The sequence below is a fragment of the Homo sapiens genome, chromosome 2 (genome assembly GCF_000001405.40).
Source record: "Homo sapiens chromosome 2, GRCh38.p14 Primary Assembly".
Classification (NCBI taxonomy): domain Eukaryota; kingdom Metazoa; phylum Chordata; class Mammalia; order Primates; family Hominidae; genus Homo; species Homo sapiens.
The window spans coordinates 87,002,927-87,022,140 of record NC_000002.12 but is presented as its reverse complement, the minus strand read 5'-3'; the positions used below and the strand labels follow the sequence as shown (position 1 = coordinate 87,022,140).

General features: G+C 39.7%; 2 protein-coding genes across 5 annotated transcripts in view; one reads left to right on the top strand and one right to left on the bottom strand.

Annotated features, from left to right (window-relative positions):
- Positions 1-296: 296 nt before the first annotated feature.
- On the top strand, positions 297-11,917 carry PLGLB1 (plasminogen like B1). Its single transcript, NM_001032392.4, has 4 exons — positions 297-406; positions 4,453-4,588; positions 5,733-5,839; positions 9,022-11,917. Exons 1-3 carry the CDS (start codon positions 358-360, stop codon positions 5,836-5,838), a joined length of 291 nt encoding a protein of 96 aa, NP_001027564.1. The 5' UTR covers positions 297-357; the 3' UTR covers position 5,839; positions 9,022-11,917.
- Positions 8,165-19,214, bottom strand: part of RGPD1 (RANBP2 like and GRIP domain containing 1) — a 100,318-nt gene continuing 89,268 nt past the window's right edge. For all 4 annotated transcript variants that reach the window (NM_001410915.1, XM_011532845.4, NM_001024457.4 and 1 more), the window contains one exon: positions 8,165-9,628. In NM_001410915.1, coding sequence (NP_001397844.1) covers positions 9,594-9,628 — 35 coding nt within the window. In that variant the 3' untranslated portion in view covers positions 8,165-9,593. The remainder of the gene's footprint in view (positions 9,629-19,214) is intronic.

The window sequence follows — 19,214 nt, the reverse complement described above, 5'->3', positions numbered from 1 at the left end:
CATTTTCTCCAAAAGAAAGGGAATAAAAGAAGAGGGGAGGAAATAAGACTAATTGTGAGAGATAAAGTACAAAGGTGAGGGAAGGAGTAAGGAGACATGAAGGCAGCATGGAGCAGCTGAGGGGGGAGATTGCTTTCACCACTTCCCAGCATCTATTGCAGATTCCACCCTCAATCATTTTGTAAGGACCCTTTATTCAAGGTCGTGTTTGAACCCTGCTGAGCCAGTGGCGTGGGTGTCTGAGAGAATCATTAACTTAATTTGACTATCTGGTCTGTGGATGCGTTTACTCTCATGTAAGTCAACAACATCCTGGGATTGGGACACACTTTCTGGGCACTGCTGGCCAGTCCCAAAATGGAACATAAGGAAGTGGTTCTTCTACTTCTTTTATTTCTGAAATCAGGTAAGACATAGTTTTTTTAAATTATAATAATTATTTTTTCTCCCACAATGCAGTACAAATACATATGCCATGGCTTTATGTGCAATTCATTTAATTTTTGATTCATGAAACTCCCAGTTGAAAATCTTGTATAAGATTGAGGAATTCTTCAAGAAATAAGTTTAGTTTTCCTGTGAAGATTGTCAGCGTGCTGGAATGAATGCGCAGAGAAAATAATGGGTGGTTTTTCAAATCTAAATGAGTGCACCCACATAATGGCCAGTCTAATTGAAAAAGAGCCAATGTAGCTAACTATGCAAAGGACGGCTAAGCTCTTCGCCTGGTTCTCAGTTTGACTAATTTATATAATCTCTCTTACGGTGTCATGCTCCCCTCACTTGCAAGTTAAAACAATGAAATTTCTCTTTGAATATATTCTGTTCTCTCACCAGTTCATGGTGGTGGCAGCGTCAGGGATTCAGCATTTCTCCCTTTGTTATGGCCTGAGGAAGGCTTTCCATCAGTATACGTTTGCCTCTAATCCCCGGAAAAATCACACGCATCCATTTGCCAGATGCTGTGTGCAGACAGTGATTCAACAAATACTCACTTAGTGCTTGGGTTAGGTCGCTACATTTTTACACATACATACATACCTGTGTGTGAATGTGAGTGTGAGTGTGTGTCCTTTACAAATACTAGCTTATTTAGCTCGCGGTATAGGTAGGGTAGCATATTCACCCTCATTTTATAAACAAAGAAATCTAGACTTAGGAAAATCATGTTATTTGCTCAGTGACCAAATTCTCAAATCTGGGAAATAAAGAAAACTGGATTTAAGCCAGGTTTCCCAGAAGGAATCTAGGGCTCTTCTCACTTTTCAGCTTTGTTTAAGCCTTTGAAATAATATTCTAAACATGTCCTAGTAGTTCTTTTTCTTTTTCTTTTTTTAAAAAAAAGCTTTATTGAGATATAATTAATGTATAGAATTCACCCATTTAGGCATACAATCCAATGGATTTCAATATATTGAGAGTTGTGCAGCCACCATCAGAATAAATTTTAAAACTATTCATACCCCCAAAAACGCACTCCACTCTCCTTAGCTGTTACCCCCGATCTGCAGCTTCTGGCAACCACTAATCTACTTTCTGTATTTATATCTTTGCCATTTTGAACATTTCATACGAACGGAATCATACGATTTGCTAGTAGTTCTTCCTGTAAATAATGTATACTTGAAATTCAATCTATAAATTACCAGATAAAATTTTACAAGTTGCACTTTAGAGTCAAATACATTTGAATTTAGTGGAAGCCATTCAAGGAGCTATCAAACAAAATACAGAGCAGGAGAAAATTAAAGAAATTTTTGTAAGAAATTGGTGTATGTTGGGGGTGTGAATATTATATTTCAATGCATGGAAACTATGACATAGATCACTGTGAACTTATTCAGTGGGCTACACCCAAAGGCTAGAACAAACTTCTCCGCCACAGGATTACCAATGTTTTAACCAACCTGGGGGGAACATTCTCTCATAAGCTCTTTTGGAAAGCCAGGCTTTCTGTGGATGTATCATCTTTCCAGTGTGCTGCAATGCCCGGGGAGAGGAAAAAGTTTCTTTTACAGCCATGCTTAGTGGGAAGTGGAGAAACATCTTCCATTTCACAAATTAAGTCTTTTACACATGCAAATATGCATACACATTCACACACCACAGTGAGGAAGAAATTCTCACACCATTAATAAAATACATTTGCATCAGTAGCAATATACATCTGCATTTTGCCTATAATATAAATGTATTTTTCCACTAAAAGATTTGATGTTTCCTTGCCAGCAAATAAGCCCTATCAAATCCTATTGCCATATGAGTCCTAGAGGTGAATAAGAGAAAAAAAAAATGGGGGAAAATTATTTCAAATTAAAAAGAAAACAGTTTGATTCTGTTTTGGGATATTTCCTAGGGACAGGAGCTGGGGAGGGGATCTCAGCAGCGATGTGCTATGAAGTATAATAACATGACACAGAGAACTTAATTGAAGGGGGAAATAAATGGAAGTTTTCTTTTTTTGAATATCAATTGTAGCCTGCTCTGCTATACTTCAAAAAAACTCTTCAGAAAGTTTAACTGAACTCACCGTAGGACACACTTTGTGGATTTATTGTGTGTTTTGAAGTCACACTGCGAGCTATAGAATTAACCAAAACACAACTCTTCTTGGAAATGAGAGTTCAAGTTGGCAGAAAGTGCGGGGTAAAGACATGGATATGGGCCTAAAGCATCTATTTCTTTGTGATCTTTTGATACATCTCTCAAGTGCTTTTTAGTGGATTAGGTTTAGAATGCATCAGCCAACTCCTGCTCAATAATCCATTTTTCCAGCCCGGAATGTCTTAAATTGAGGAAGGACGAAGTCCCAGAGGTGGGGAGCAGGGGGACTTTGGCCGAGGACTTTGCATGAATTGATGAGCGTGCATCCTCCTCCCTGTGCTCTGTGTACCCTCAGGAGGTCAGGACGGGCCTTTCTGAGAATGAGAATCTGTTCATTTGCCTTCCTACTGGATATTTGTCATCAGCATACAAACCAGTGTGCTCTGCAGTGTGTCATCTTTCAGAACCTCCCCTGACCGCATCTTCCCTGGAGGGCTCGCTGTCTTCAGAGCCAGGCTTGTCTCCCGCTGCCGCCTCCACTGCTCTCCTCGTCACTCTATAACCCACTCCCTCTGCCTGCAGCCCCCACCACGCCCCTCAAAGTGGTCAAGGTTGTCCTGTTGTCTAATTCCATGGAGCTTGGCTATCTTCATTTTATTAGCCTCTTTTGGCCTCTTACCCCTGTGAAAATCACTAGCATTCTGTGCGAAGGATGGAGCTGGCATCTCCAGGCTTGGAATAGACCTACCAAAGCTCAGCCAGATGTCCGGAAGAGCCTCAGGACAAGGGAACACCCTGTAGCCTTGTGGTGGGAGCACAGCTGAGGCCCCCTTGGCCACCCTCTGCCACGACCAGGCAGAAAGCAGCTTTCGGACAGATTCGTTGTCTCAGATTTGATCTCAAAGAAAAACCAAGACCAGTATTTGTCCCAGGTTCTGCTTTTTTACAATTTCCTCCGAAATCCAGATACCTGTCAACACCTTGGAAAAACTGATTTCTCCCCAGTTAGTAGTGTTGTGTGACTGTCATCAGCCCAGTACAAAAATGGCCTTCTTTGTTGGGGAGCTTCTTACCCTCCAGTGTTTTGCCCAATTTTTGTCCAAGGTGGCAACATAATTTAGTTCAGTTCTTGTTTATTTCCACCATCATCTATGCACCAAAATTTATGTGCCTCAAGGAGGGACCATTCAGAGGATGCTTCCCACCAGTTCAAGTGACAGTGTCAGAACCAAAGCGCATATTGTAGGAAATCAAACAATGGCCTCCAAGTTCCATTTCTACCCAGGGATGAACAAATCAACATCAATCTTGGTAACACAACTGCCACTGATGGTGCCTTACTCTTCTCTCATGACATGGCACAATTGATAGCAAACATAAAATTTGTTCTTGTTTAAGGATTTATATCCACTAATATGGTAACATAGTAGTGGTTCCATAGTTCTAACCTGTTTATCAATCCAGTTAATCTTTTACTATCTTGCAATCTGTTAATGAAACTGTTTTTCTTTGTTTTATAATTTCAACTTTTAGAGTCAGGGGTACATGTGCAGGTTTGTTACATCACTAAATTGCGTGACACTGAGCTTTGGGGTACAAATGATTCCCATCACCCAGGTAGTGAGCTAAATACCTACTAAATAGGTAGTTTTTCAGCCCTTGCCTCGCTCCCTCTCTCCCTTCTCTGGTAGTCCCCAGTGTCTTTAGTTGCCATCTTTATTTATGTCCACATGCCCAACTGTGTGTTCTTAACTAAACATTTTGATTCATAGCTACCCATTCTACTTCCAGTAAACAGCAAGTTTTATTTGGTTAATGCTAACCAAATAGATTAAAAGGAAGTCATGACAATTAGACATTGGCATTGATTTACTGACCATTTATTCCACTTGGATCTCCCACCTCTAGGTCAAGGAGAGCCCCTGGATGACTATGTGAATACCCAGGGGCCTTCACTGTTCAGTGTCACTAAGAAGCAGCTGGGGGCAGGAAGCAGAGAAGAATGTGCAGCAAAATGTGAAGAGGACAAAGAATTCACCTGCAGGTATTTTCATCGTCGTTGCACCTACCCAGAAATCTGTAATTCAGATGGCAAGTAATTTACTCACAAATTTATTAACGATTTAAGAGGAAAGAGAAATTTATGGAGCCAGAGTTTGGAACTATATTTGCTCATAGCATGTGAAGCCATACTAACAGCTTCTTGTTAAGGTTTACTGGAGTCTTCATTAGAAAAATACCCTAAAAGGAAGTTATTTGTTTTTACACCGGACATAAACATTAGCAGTTATTGTTCTGAGCTCCAGTTTTTAACATCATCATCAGTAAATGTTTGTTGAGGATCATATGAATGAAAGTGTCCTAGATAGATCTGAGCAATGACTTATAGCTACAAGATCCAGTGCCTGCCCTTCAGTATTTAAGGTGACTGGATATAATGTTAAAAAAAAAAAAGACAGCCTAAGTGAGCTACAGGCATAATCAATGCATGTTCTACCCAGATCCAGAAGAAAGAACAGTGCCTAAGGTTGAGGCAGCTAGAGAAGGCTCAGGGAGGAGGTGGGAACCGAGCTGGGTTTGGAGTTGAGAGAGCTCTTGAAAAGCACCAGGAAGGCAGGGGAAGATGCGGCCCTGCACTTTCTGAGGGGGACCATTAAGAGATCAAGTTGACTAAAGCAGAGACTTTGTGTAGGTGATGAGCCTGGGAAAGTAGCTATGGATGCCAGACTGAGCACCCATAGCAGGACCACGGGATGGAGATGGGAGGGGTCAGGGGCCAGGGTGGGGTGGAATGTGGGACAGAGGTTCAGGGGAACTGATCAGAGTTGGGAGGTCATGGAGATGGACTATCTTGGGGAATGGGTTCAAAGCAACCAGAGTTGCTTCTTTCTGACCCAAAAACAAAAATTAAGAAGATGAGTGAAGAAGAAGTAAAACAGTTGAAACAGAAAGAAAGAGAAAATTATGAGGGAGGGAAGGTAAGGGCAGATAAGATTTACTGCCACGTTGGTGTATTTTGTTCAGTACTTCATCAATGCCATGCCCAAATAACTGAAAGAGGCAGCAATTCTGAGCTCTCTGGTCCCTCAAGATAGTCAATGATCTTTAGCATTTCTCATTTATTAATAAACATTTGTTTTCTTTAAATAAAGAAAAATACTTATTGGATTTCCTGCTTCGTTCTGCAGGGCATTCCAATATCACAGTAAAGAGCAACAATGTGTGATAATGGCTGAAAACAGGAAGTCCTCCATAATCATTAGGATGAGAGATGCAGTTTTATTTGAAAAGTAAAGTGAGTACATTTTCTTCCTCCTCCTCCTACTGTCCTCCCCATCCTCCCACTCTTCCTCTTTCTCTATTCTATCTTTAATTTATGAGACCAGAGGAGGAAGGTGCTATGGTGTTGTAAAATTGAATTCTGAGTTAGGACAGGATTTGATTACTAACTAACCATGTCAGCTTGAGTATATTACTTCACCTCCTAGATTTAATTTTTTTTTGTTCAAAAAATGAAAGGATTAGATTTACAAAATCACTTCTACCTCTATGACCCTGAAAATAAGATTTTTAAAATATTATTTTATATTTAACAAGGAGATGGGAAGTCTAAGCATTCCTTTTGGTCTTGGCTTCTTATTCTGCAGGGTGACCATGGTCCTTGGGCCCTAACATCTGGACGAAGCCTTGTAAAACAGAAATACTGAGGTGTTTTAATCCTCAGAAACATTTAGATTGGGACACAAATCTTATTTTTTACTCTTAAATTTTTCACATTTTGGGGGACATGGTCTATATTTTTCTCAGATTTCTGATATGTTGTCTTTTAAAAATGTGTAAAAGTTACAGTTCCTTTTCTATAGTTTATTTTAAAATGTGGGTCAATAGTCCCACTGCTTAGAATAAGAGGCACACAGGATTTCAATAGAAATTGCATGCCTTTTTAGATGTGCGAATGTTTCATTAAGCGTATGAATATTTGAAGAGATGTATGACACTTTAAAAACTGTTTCCTCTACTGTGTTGGTGGCCAGGTATTAAGACTGTTAATAATAACAATTTAGCTCTCCAAATATCCTGCATCACAGGTGTTAAAGAGGACTGGAAACACCTTAGTTCTTGTATTCTTGAGGATGATTTGCCATATTGTGTCTAGTATCACGGCAAAACTCCAAGTAGCATTTTAAATAGTATTTATTTGGGTTGGAATTATTTCTATGCATTGACTCATCTTCCTGGGTTTCATTAGCTGTACGCATTGTACTTTCTTCCTTACCACTATTTATCTCGAATTCTTGAGATTAAAGTACAGATGAAATCTAAACTTTATCTGGTAAAGTTATTAGTTCTTACAAGTAGCAAGCAAACGGTAAACTAAATAGGATGACCTAATTGTACCAGATTTAAAAACAAAAACAAAAAACCCTGATTCTCCTGATTCTCTCTACAAAATGCTAACATTTAAATATGTCATTTGTAAATTGTTAACCAGAAGGAACATGGGAATGACTGTAGGTTGAGTTTGAAGTGTGAAGTTTGAAGGCTTAGTTTGCTTGTTTTCAAAGTGACAGAAGGGAGCAAAAGGTTATATAAACTCCGGTGGGTACATACAGTTGCTGTGGGATATTGACCTGCTGCTAACTTACCTGCCAGGGTTTTGCCAGGAACAGTCAGTGTTAGATCACGTTTACTTCTGCCACTTGCCACCAGCCACACTGCCTTCACCGAGTCCAAGACCCTATCACCACTGGTTGGGGCTACTTGTAGCTGTACACCTGATCTCGAAGAAATATAACTTCCCTGTTTAAAGCCCTTCCTAGTGCCCTTAAAATAAGACCCAAAGACTTCCCAAATGTGCCAGGGCCCGGCATTATTTACGTAACCCCCGGCTGCTGTTTGCTTGGCTTGCTAAACTTTTCTACAAAGTTTCTGGCCTTACTTCTGTTCCTTCACCACCCCAAGCACACGCCCTCCTGCCTGGGACCCTCTTCACCTTTGTCCTGCTGTGCCAGCTCCTTCTTATCGCCTAGGTGTCAGCTCAATCATCACCTCCTTTGCAAATCTTCCTTGACCCCTAGACCTCCCTTTCACAAAGTACCTTGAGTTTACACTTTGATGAGTGTCTTATGTCTACTGTAATACTATGTCCCAATGAAGATGTACTGGCAATCATAATACGTAGTATTGGGTTAAAAGCATTAGTTTGCTGTAGGTACGTTAGGAGTACTCCCCATGTGATTGATCAGTGAATTTAAAAATGGCTAAAGTGGGTAACCTTAAATGATGGTGCAAATATACCTTAAACATTTTATATTTTCATTGAAAACACAAGTGTACTTGACACCTCTTGATGTAGAGCAGAGGCTTTTTTTCTTCGAATATGGGGTCACCAGTAGAAGGTCTCTGGTGCATTTCCTGCATAAACTATGCTCTAGTGCAACATCTACAATAATTACTTTCCTTATTTTTGAAGTGGACCATATCTCGACATTTATTAATCAATCTGCATGTGTAAAACCTTTAGATTTTTATGAATTCCTCCTCAAGCTTTATAGTCAACTATATGAGTGGATTGCCCTCTGTGGATCTGATAGCAATTTTTTAAATGATTCACGTTTCAACTTGTTAAAAACATTTAATTTAGTTAAAAACCAAACAAAAAAGAGCTTTGTTTCTTTTCACATTCATTTCTCAGTTTAGATCATCTTTAATTAAATATAAATGTAAGAAAGTTGGAAAATGCAAAGAAACGACTCGTTGTAAGCACATAACTCACGTGGGGGGAACAGACATGGGTGGGCACACTAGCAAACACCTGCCAGCTGCATGTGGACCCAGGTGGGCACCGGACTGTTTTAAACACAGGAGAGGGCCCATTGTCTAACTGGTGAGTTGGTTGAGTGGAAGCTGGTTGAGAACTTTTACTGCAAACCATTTACAGTAGACCACAATTTTATAGTCCTGTTTGGCACTTTTTCATATCACTGGGAGCCTGAAGAAATAGAAGTGGGTTGGATCTCTTTCAGCCTCGGAAAAGCCTGCCATTCCCCCATCTAAAAACCCTTTCCCCATTCTCTTACTCTGTCTCATCATGTATGTAACATGTATCCATGTATCATCAAGTGATCTCATTTTATATTGTTTACTTGAATATTTCCTGTAACCCCCCTGTCTGATTCCACTAGAATGTGAGCTCTATGATGGCCAAGCCTCTGGCTGCACTGTGCCCCGTGTGTCCCCAGCATCCTGGTGGGGCTCAATACACAGAGAGCTCATAAGTAGCATTTGAATACATGAATCAAAGTATGGAATGGCCCAGTTTACTGCAGCCTTTTTGCAGGTGCAAAAGATGATCTTTTAGAAAGCAGAAACAGGGGGTCTGGTGCATGAGATCTTTTTCTCAATGTGACTGTGCTGTGCAGACCTTCACGTGGTGTCTTGTGAAAGACTTTGACCACTGTGTGGACTTTCCTTCAGTGTATCTTTCAGAGTGCAAGACTGGGAATGGAAAGAACTACAGAGGGACGATGTCCAAAACAAAAAATGGCATCACCTGTCAAAAATGGAGTTCCACTTCTCCCCGCAAACCTAGGTCAGACTTTTCCTTTCATCTTTGTGTTCATCTACTGTAAAGTGTCCGTCTGTGTCTGTGAGGGATTGGTTCCAGGACCCCTGTGGCTACCAAAATCCATGCTTCTCAAGTCCCTTATGTAAAATGGTGCAGTATTTGCATATAACCTACATACCTTCTCTTGTGCAATCCCTAATATAATGTAAATGCTATGTAATCGTTGTTATACTGTATTGTTTTTATTTGTATTATGTTTTATTGTCATATTGTTATTTTCTCTCATCTTTTTCAAGTCTTTTCCATCCACAGTTGGTTGAATTTGTGGATGTGGAACCCATGGATACAGAGGGCCAACTGTATTTAGGATAATTTCATCACTTTTAATTCAAACCAGAATATGTGAATAAGCAGACAGAAAGAATCTTTTTGATGTCGATGTTCAACTATTTTTGGCACCATAGTAGAACATGGTTGCTTTCTATTTTTTCTTGGGTATGGAGGTTTCTTGAAGACCTAGAACATAGAAGAATGCCTAGTTAAAAAAAAAAATCAATGAAACTACGAGTTTTAGGCCAAATCTGAGAAAAGACCAAAGATGACTATGTTTGGGACTGAAGTAAACATATCAAGTTAGAACTCTCATCACATGTTTGACTCAAATTGTGGAGCAAAATAGTAAATAAAATATAAAAATGAAAATGAAGATACGTGAAATTCAAATGTCACAACTTGCCTATTATTTATTTTAGTGCATTTTTTTGTGCTTTTCCCAGTTTGGTGTTAGGTGGCCTTAAGTTCTCAGTAATGACACTTATCAAATAGGAACTTAGTGTTACTCACCTTTATCCATTCCCCCAACACTCAACAAATTGCCTTTGCTATATCCCTATGAGATGAGCAGATCAAATATTCCCCGTGAGTTAATGAAAACTGATTCAACCAAATGGCGAAGTCAGAGACTATCGGGGGCCATGGAGACACTCTGGGCCATTTTTATGAGGTAGTCTAGGCTCATCTTCATGAGGGAACTGAGGTCTTGGGGGGTGGGGGTTACCCAAATAGGTTCACAGAAGAACCAGAAATAAAACCTGCCTTTCTAGACTGTAAGTCTTGTGATTGTCATCTAAATGGTTGTCTCTATACAGCAACTCATCTCTAGAACTGAAAATAAGTTTAAATCCCTCCTCCATCCCCAATAATTCAAGCTGCATTTCAGAGAAAACCAGGACTTTGGAATCAGACAGATCAACTTTGACTTCTTGATCTGCTTCTTCATAGCTATTTATGCTTAGGCAAGTTTTGTTTTGTTTTGTTTTACGTTGCCACTCAGTCTTCTCATCTGTAAAACAGGGATAATAACACCTTCCTCAAATGGTTTTTTTTATTAGGACTAAAAGAGAGAATGTGTGGAAAGATGTTAGTGGAATTCCTGGCACATAGTTCACATGGACAAAATGGTGTTAACTACGAAAATTTTTACAGAGAAAAGGGCAACTGACAAAAGCAGGTGTTTGGAATGAATTAAGACCATGGCAGGCTTTTGAGGCCTTTATATTTCTCCTGACTGTGCAATAAAAATATTTTGGCTCTCTGTCTAAGACTTGGCTGTCACAGTAGCAATGGTAATATTAGCTACTGTGCCAGAAGCAGCCTATCAATAGAGAAATTGAAAATCTGACCACACAAATGCTGCAGCACCCAGCTGAAATGCATTTGGATGACAATCTCAGATGGGAATCGAGAGCATCTCCTTCTGCCTTGCTAATAGCAAGCTGATTTTTAGAATATAGTCTAAGTGCTTCTCTTCCATCCTCCCCAGATTCTCACCTGCTACACACCCCTCAGAGGGACTGGAGGAATCCAGACAACGATGCGCAGGGGCCCTGGTGCTATACTACTGATCCAGAACAGAGAGATGACTACTGCGACATTCCTGAGTGTGAAGGGCAGGAGTGGCTCTAGAAAATGTTTTCATTTCTGCCCTTCACCTGTAAAATAATTTGTTGTAAAGCCCCTTCCCACAGGGATATTATTAATAATTGCGTAACGTGTTCACCTCTCGGAAAGGAGCAAAACTTTGCTCAGATCCCAGAATTAACCTGATTTTTTTTTTTTTTCTGAGACAGAATTTTGCTCTCATTGCCCAGGCTAGAGTGCAATGGTGCGATCTCAGCTCACCACAACCTCCGCCTCCGGGTTCAAGCGATTCTCCTACCTCAGCCTCCCAAGTAGCTGGAATTACATGCATGTGCCACCATGCCTGGCTAATTTTACATTTTTAGTAGAGACAGGGTTTCTCCATGTTGGTCAGGCTGGTCTTGAACTCTCGACCTCAGGTGAGCCGCCCGCCTCAGCCTCCCAAAGTGCTGGGATTACAGGCATGAGCCACCATGCCCAGCAGACCTGAATTATTATTATTAAAATGTTACATCAACATGTACAAATATAAAACTACATCTAAACTCTAAGTACAGACTTCTTATGCTTAAAACTCTTACACAGTGTTAACCCCAAGACAGATTTGCAATTAAGTAGTTAAAATAAGACAACAAAGTCAATAAAAATCAAATAAACAATATACATTTAATGTGGTAGACTTTGCTGTTTTGCTGAAGCTAAGCAAGGAACCAGTTTTTAAATCAGCAATCCGTTATTTTAATGGACTGAGCAATTTAATAGTGCACCTCAAAGGTCAATGATAAAAACTAAAAAAAAAAAATACCTACTGAAAAAACTGTCATCGTTTCACATTTCTGGCTACGTTAGTGCAAAAGGGAATAAATAAAGGTGAGATTTGTGTGACAGTGTGGATATGGTACTGTGTGACAACTCAGTTCTCCCATCACTTCCACCTGTTTGAATCATCGGGATCCTTTATTTGTACACCATGTTATCGGTATTTGCCCTTAAGCACCACCAATGCACCACTTTTATATTAAGTCTGCCCGTTTTCCTTAGTACTCCATAAAATTTAAGTCACATATTACTCTGCCTCACCATGTTACTTCAATAATTCTGAATCAAAGTTTAAGTTTGTGAATAATTTTGCAAAAAAAGAGCCAATCATGCTTCTCAACAACATAAAAAGAGAAGCGCCGTCACTTCAGGTGAATATTGTTCTCCGTGAGGCCATGAGCATAAACAAAAACTCCAGACTAAAACCCTGAGACGGTGCCAGGTCATTCAGCAGTCAGCGGAATGATCAGTATAATTTCAAACAAAGTTTTAAAGATCATTATTGAAATGATGTATTTTGAGCTTCCTGGATCTGTTCCTTTATGTCTACCTTAGTTCATTTGGGCTGCTGTGACAAAAATATCATAAACTGGAGAGTTTATAAACAACAGAAATTTATTTCTCACCGTTCTAGGGGCTGTGATGTCCAAGACCAAGGCACTAGCAGTGTCTGGTGAGGCCCTGCTTCCTCATAGATGACACATTCTGGCTTTGTCCTCACATGGTGTCAGGGGCTAGCTAATTCCCTGGGGCTTCTTTCATAAGTGCACTAATCTCTGTCCTGAGGGTAGAGCCCTCGTAACCTGATTGACTCCCAAAAGCCCCACCTCAGTACTATCACATTGAGGATTAAGTTTCAATATAACTTTTGAGGAGACACAAACATTCAGACCATAGCTTTATCTATCATGAATTTGGGGGAATTTTCAGTCACTGTTGCTTCAAATGTTTCTTCTGTTTCTTTCTCTTTTTTTTTTTTTTTTTTGAGACAGAGTCTTGCTCTGTTGCCCAGGCTGGAGTGCAGTGGCACGATCTCAGCTCACTGCAAGCTCCTCCTCCCAGGTTCATGCCATTCTCCTGCCTCAGTCTCCCGAGTAGCTGGGACTACAGGCGCCTGCCACCACGCCCCGCTAATTTTTTGTATTTTTAGTAGAGACAGGGTTTCACCGTGTTAGCCAGGATGGTCTCGATCTCCTGACCTTGCGATCTGCCCGCCTCGGCCTCCCAAATTGCTGGCATTATAGGCGTAAGCCACCATGCCTGGCTTTCTTTCTCTTTTTCTTCTCTTTCTGGTATTTCCAAAAAGTCTCCATGTTCCACCTTTTGTAATTGTCTCACAGTTCTTGACTCTTGTTCTGTTTTTTCTTTTTCATTCTTTTCTCTCATTGTGTGTCAGCTTTTGAAGTATCTATTGACATCTCTTTGAGCTCACTGATTCTTTCATTGGCCATATCCATTCTTTTGATGAACCCATCAAAGGCATTCTTCATTTCTGTTATGGTGTTTTTTATTTCTAGTATTTCATCTTTATTTCTTCTTAGTGTTTTTATCTCTTTGCTTACATTACCCATCTGTTCTTGCATGTTATGCCATTTTTACATTAGAGCCCCTAGCATGTTAATCTTAGTTATTTTAAATTCCTGGTTGGATACTTCCGATATTTCTTTCATATCTGAGTCTGGTTCTGATGCTTGCTCTGTCTCTTCAAACTGTGGGGTTTCTTGTCTTTTAGTATGCTTTGTAATTTTTTGTTTGAGGCTGTATATGATGTACTGGGTGAAACGAACTGAGTTAAATAAGGCTTTAGTATGAGATTTTGTGTTTCTCTGGCTAGGAGTTAGGCTTTGTTTACTCTTTGCTATATAGTCATGGATGTCAGAGGCTAAAATTTCCTCTAGTGTCCTTGTGTTGTCTCCCCTGTCTTCTCTGGGGAGCTCCCTAGAGGCTTCTTTGTAAAGTAGCTCTGAGTCTTGCAGTGTCTATCCCTAATCATGGGAAAACATCAAACAAACCCATACAGCGGGACATCTGACAAAGTACCAAGTGTCAAGGATCATGGATTGAATCCTGAAACAGAGGAAGGACACTGAAGGAAAGACTGGGAAAACCTGACTGAGGTCTGGAGTTTAGTTAGTGATACTATACCAAGACGAATTTCTTAGTTTTGATAATTTGTTAACAGTTATGTTAACATTGGGGGTAGCTATGCAAGGGGTGTGAGAATGCTGTTATATCTTTAACCTTGGCCCATGGTTAAGGTGTTTCCAGTGTAAGGTCACTGTTATTCCTTGTAGTTAACATATATTTGGCACCACAGGATTCATTCTGGAATTCTCCTTGGTTTATTTATAACTTTTTTTCTAGTAGTGAGAAACCTGGCTTTCATGCAGAGTTTACAAACGCCAATTTAAACTTTTGTTTTGTCATACGCAATGATTTTATTACCTGTCTTTATTTCAGAGCTTATGAATTTTTAATTATTCTAAGGGCTAACATAGAACTTTTCCATGTTTTCTACTCTTCAAGAGTAGGTAAGACTTTAGTTTGTAATACATTACAAAAGGAATCCTGTGGTTCTCTAAGAGCTAATTTGTCTTGGCAAAAGGCCTTAGCGAGCTGTGAGTGGTGGCTCATGCCTGTAATCCCAGCACTTTGATCTGAGACGGCTGGATCACCTGAGGCCAGAAGTTTGAGACCAGTTTTGCCAACATGGCGAAACCCCATCTCTGCTAAAAATACAAAAAATTAGCCAGGCATAATGCCATGCACCTGTAGTCCCAGCTACTTGGGAGGCTGAGGCAGGAGAATCGCTTGAACCTCGGAAGTGGAGGTTGCAGTGAGCCGAGATCGTGCCACTGCACTCCAGCCTGGGAAACAGCGAGACTGTCTCAAAACAAACAAAAAAACCAAAAAACAAAAAAATTAGACGGGCGTGGTGGCATGCACCTACAGTCCCAGCTACTCAGGAGGCTGAGGCAGGAGAATCGCTTGAACCCAGGAGTTGGAGGTTGCACTGAGCAGAGATCATGCCGCTGCACTCTAGCCTGGGTGACACAGTGAGTATCCATCTCAAAACAACAACAACAACAACAACAACAAAAACAAATTAAAAAACCCAACAACAACAAAACCAGCAAACAAAAAAACTAAACAGGCTTTAGGGAAAGAGCAATCTAATTATCTGATTATATGATTGGCACTAAGATGGGAATGACTCTGGCCTGATTTCTTCAGTTTACATTTTAAAATAGGAGCTTAGTTAGCCCCCAAATAATATGTAATTGATGTATTAGCGTTGGGGAGTGAATATTTTTCAAAGCAGAAGATATTTCTCAATTCTTGCTTACTTTTAGAGGTTGAAGTTCAAGGAAGCCCCTTCCTTGGCACTGTATCCCAGGGAGGTATTTGGAGTTAATTTCAGGGCTTAGCAGTGACTCTTTAGAAAAGCAGTATACGATTGAAATGTAATGTGTTACAAATGAGATCACTACAAGTAATTTAAAAATGTGCTAGTAGTGTTTTTTTTTCTGAGACGGAGTCTCGCTCTGAAGCCCAGGCTGGAGTGCAGTGGCACGATCTCAGCTCACTGCAAGCTCCGCCTCCCGGGTTCGCGCCATTCTCCTGCCTCAGCCTCCCTAGTAGCTGGGACTACAGGCGCCTGCCAACACGCCTGGCTAATTTTTTGTGTTTTTAGTAGAGACGGGGTTTCACCGTGTTAGCCAGGATGGTCTCGGTCTCCTGACCTCGTGATCCTCCCACCTCAGCCTCCCAAAGTGCTGGGATTACAGGAGTGAGCCACCACACCCAGCCTCTAGTAGTACTTTTATCAAAAGTAAATAGAAACATGAAATTAATTTTCACAATACATTTTATTTAAACTAATATGTTCACAATGTTAAAATTTCAACATGTAATCACTATAAAAACTACTAGTGAGATATTTCACATTACTTTTTTCATGTAAGCCTTTGAAATCTGGTGTGTATTTTATATTTACTGTACATCCTGATTTGGAATAACCACATTTCAATCTTTCAATAGCCACATGTGGCTAGTGGCTACTGTGTTAGAGCAGTTCTAGAACAAAGGAGTCCCTTTAAAACTATTTTGAAGTCATCGTCTATAAGGCAATATGAAAGCTGATCTGAATGATTTCTCCTTTTCCAGGAAAGGAAACAAAAATGAAATCATGTTAGGGCTGCATATTTTATGGATCCCAGGAGAAATACACAGTCTGAAAGAATGATCTCAGTCAGAAACTCAGAATGAATCATATGAATTAAACATTGGACAATGTCCAATGCTCAGCATGTGTTTTTGGTTTATACTAAGAGCATATTATGCCACCAAATACAGATATTTACTATTATACTTCGTGTAGGAGGTATATTGAGACATTGTTCTAGACTACCACAGTTCCATATTTTGTGAAAAGTTATATTGCACTTTTTTTTTTTTTGAGAGTGTGCCCAGGCTGGAGTGCAATGGCATGATCTCAGCTCACTCCAGCCTCCACCCCCCCAGGTTCAAGGGATTCTCCTGCCTCAGCCTCCCTAGTAGCTGGGATTACAGGTGGGCACCACCACATCTGGCTAATTGTTGTATTTTTAGTAGAGATGGGGTTTCGTCATGTTGGCCAGGCTGGTCTCGAACTCCTGATCTCAGGTGATGCACCTGCCTCAGCCTCCCAAAGTGTTAGGATTACAGGCGTGATCCACCATGCCCAGCCTTATATTTCACTCTTTGGGAATTGCATCTTACTGTAATCTTAAACTACACTAAAATAAATAATGTAAACCTTTTGTCAAATTGCTCAGAGTAGGTTTCTACTTTGGTTATAAGGAATAAAATTCATGCTTTTGTGTACACACTAGACATCTAAAGCAACCAACCATAGTTAACAAGCAGTGCTCTTACCAAAAGGTAACTCTTTCTAGAATCTGGCACACCATTTAATATCAGTATGAGCATATGGTGGGTTTAATAATTGTTTTCCATGTTTATAAGTTTTCTTTAGTTTTATAAGCAGTTAAAATGAATCCCTTTCACTGAAATACAATCTGTGGTGGGACTTCTAGCTTTTCTCGATCTTACGCTGCTAGATTTATGTCACTGCCATAGCTATGCAATGGGTGATATTTACACTATGCTCAAACAAAGCAACCAGAAAAACACATCATTGAATAATACAGATATTCTGAAGTCAAGCAAGCCAACTTTCATTAACAGATCAATTTCCTTAGAAAAGTTGATGAAACTAAAGACTGAAGTTCAAAGAAAAAGCCCTCTCAAGGGGGTATGAATTTCTGGTAACTTATGGGGTAAGAAAAAGAGCAAGAAACTTGAAAGTAGGGAAGAGAAAAAAGAAAAGGAGCAAGAGGGAATAGCCAGCTCTCAAAAGAGTCTCCAATAGGAAAGCAAAATCTGTATCTAGCCAGTACCAACATGTGAAGAAAGAGTGAGCATAGCAAAATTGAGAAAGGTTGCTTGAAAACCAAACAAAAAACCAAATACCTGTAATCCTAGCACTTTGGGAGGGTGAGGTGGGTGGATTGCCTGCACTCAGGAGTTCAAGACCAGCTGGGCAACATGGTGAAACCTTGTCTCTACTAAAATCCAAAAAAAAAAAAAAAAATTAGCCAGGCATGGGCTGGGCTGGGCTGTTTTCCAGGCTGGTCTCAAATTCCTGGGCTTAAGTGATCCTCCCACTTCAGCCTCACAGTGTTGGGATTACAGTCACGAGCCACTGTACCCAACCATATGTCATTCTTTAGACACACTGCTTACTAAATTTCTCTTTTTAAAGGATATACTGAATTTCCGGTTGAGCCAACTTAACAGCTAATTTTCTATTTTAGCTTTAAAACATTGATAAGCAACATGAAGCAATCTAGAACTTAACCTTTAAGTGGCTTTATTAAAGCAATCCAGCTATGAAAATTATGCAGAAATGATTATCTACAATCTTACCAGCACATAAGAAATTCTTCCTCTATTCTGAAATACCATCTTCTCACAATATACTTTGATGTTATGAATCAATGTCTGTTCTTGAACATTATTTATTGTCTTTCTCTATTAAACAATTCCAAAATAAAATTTCCAGCACAACTAAATATTGTTGATGATAAGAGGATTTTTAAAAAAGTTCTTTTAAAACAGAAGCTTATATACAACTTAGAATCTAAAACCAATAGATTTATGGTAAACCTTAAAACTGAACCAAAACAAACAAAAACCAAAGTTTTAATCATTTAAAAATCATGTTTATTGAGGTACAACTTATAGTAAAACCTGCCCTTTTCAGCGTATAGCACTGAGTCTTGACAAATGCACAGTTATGTACCACCACCGACCAAGGCCTGGCACATTTTTACCTCCTCAAAGTTCTCCCTGGCTGCTTCTCCCACTCCTTGGCAACCACTAACCTGTTTTCTGTCCTTATAGTACTGCTTTTTTCAGTGTCATATAAGTAGAATCACACTGTACATAGTATTTTGAGTCTGACCTCTGTCAACTGGCATAATGCATTTGAGAATTATCCATGTTGCTGTACTGGCAGTGCATTCTTTTTTATTGCTGAGCAGTATTCAATTGCATGGCTGTACCAGTTTGTTTATTCATTTGCCAGTTGAAGGATAACTGAGATCTTCCTCGTTTTTAGCAATTTTAAAGAAAGTTTCTATGAATAATTGTGTACAGGTTTTTAATTAAATGTTTTGGAGATATAATTCATATACCACATAATTCACCTTTTTAAAGTGCATAAGTCACTGGTTTTTAATATATTCACAAGGTTTGTGCATAGGTTTTTGTGTGAATACTGGTTTTCATTCCTCTTGGATAAAGATTTAATTTGGTATTACCCTTCCAGACACCTTTCTGTGTTTTCATACGTATATATGTATGACGGTTTGACCTTAGGCAGAGTAGCATTTTCAAAATTTTACATGGGGAAACTTTCTAGGTTTAAAGCCATTTTATTTTTCTGTTCTGTCTGGTTTTATCTACGTGTTATTTACAATCTGCTGTGTAACAAATTACTACAAACTTAGTACCTTAACACATATTTATTTCACAGTTTCTGTGGGTCAGGAGATCAGAAATGGTTCTATTTCAAGGTCTCTCACAGGGCTGCAATCAAGATGTTGGCATGGCTGGGGTCTCATCTGAAGGCTGGACTGGAGAAGAATCTACTTCCAAACTTATGTGGTAGTTGGAAGAATTTAGTTCCTCAAGGCTGCTAAACTGATGGCCTGTGTTCCTTGCCTCTGGGATGGTAGCTTGCTTCAACAAAGTGTGCAAGCAGAGAAGACAGAGAGAGTCCGCTAGCAAGATAGAAGCCACAATCTCTTGTAATCTA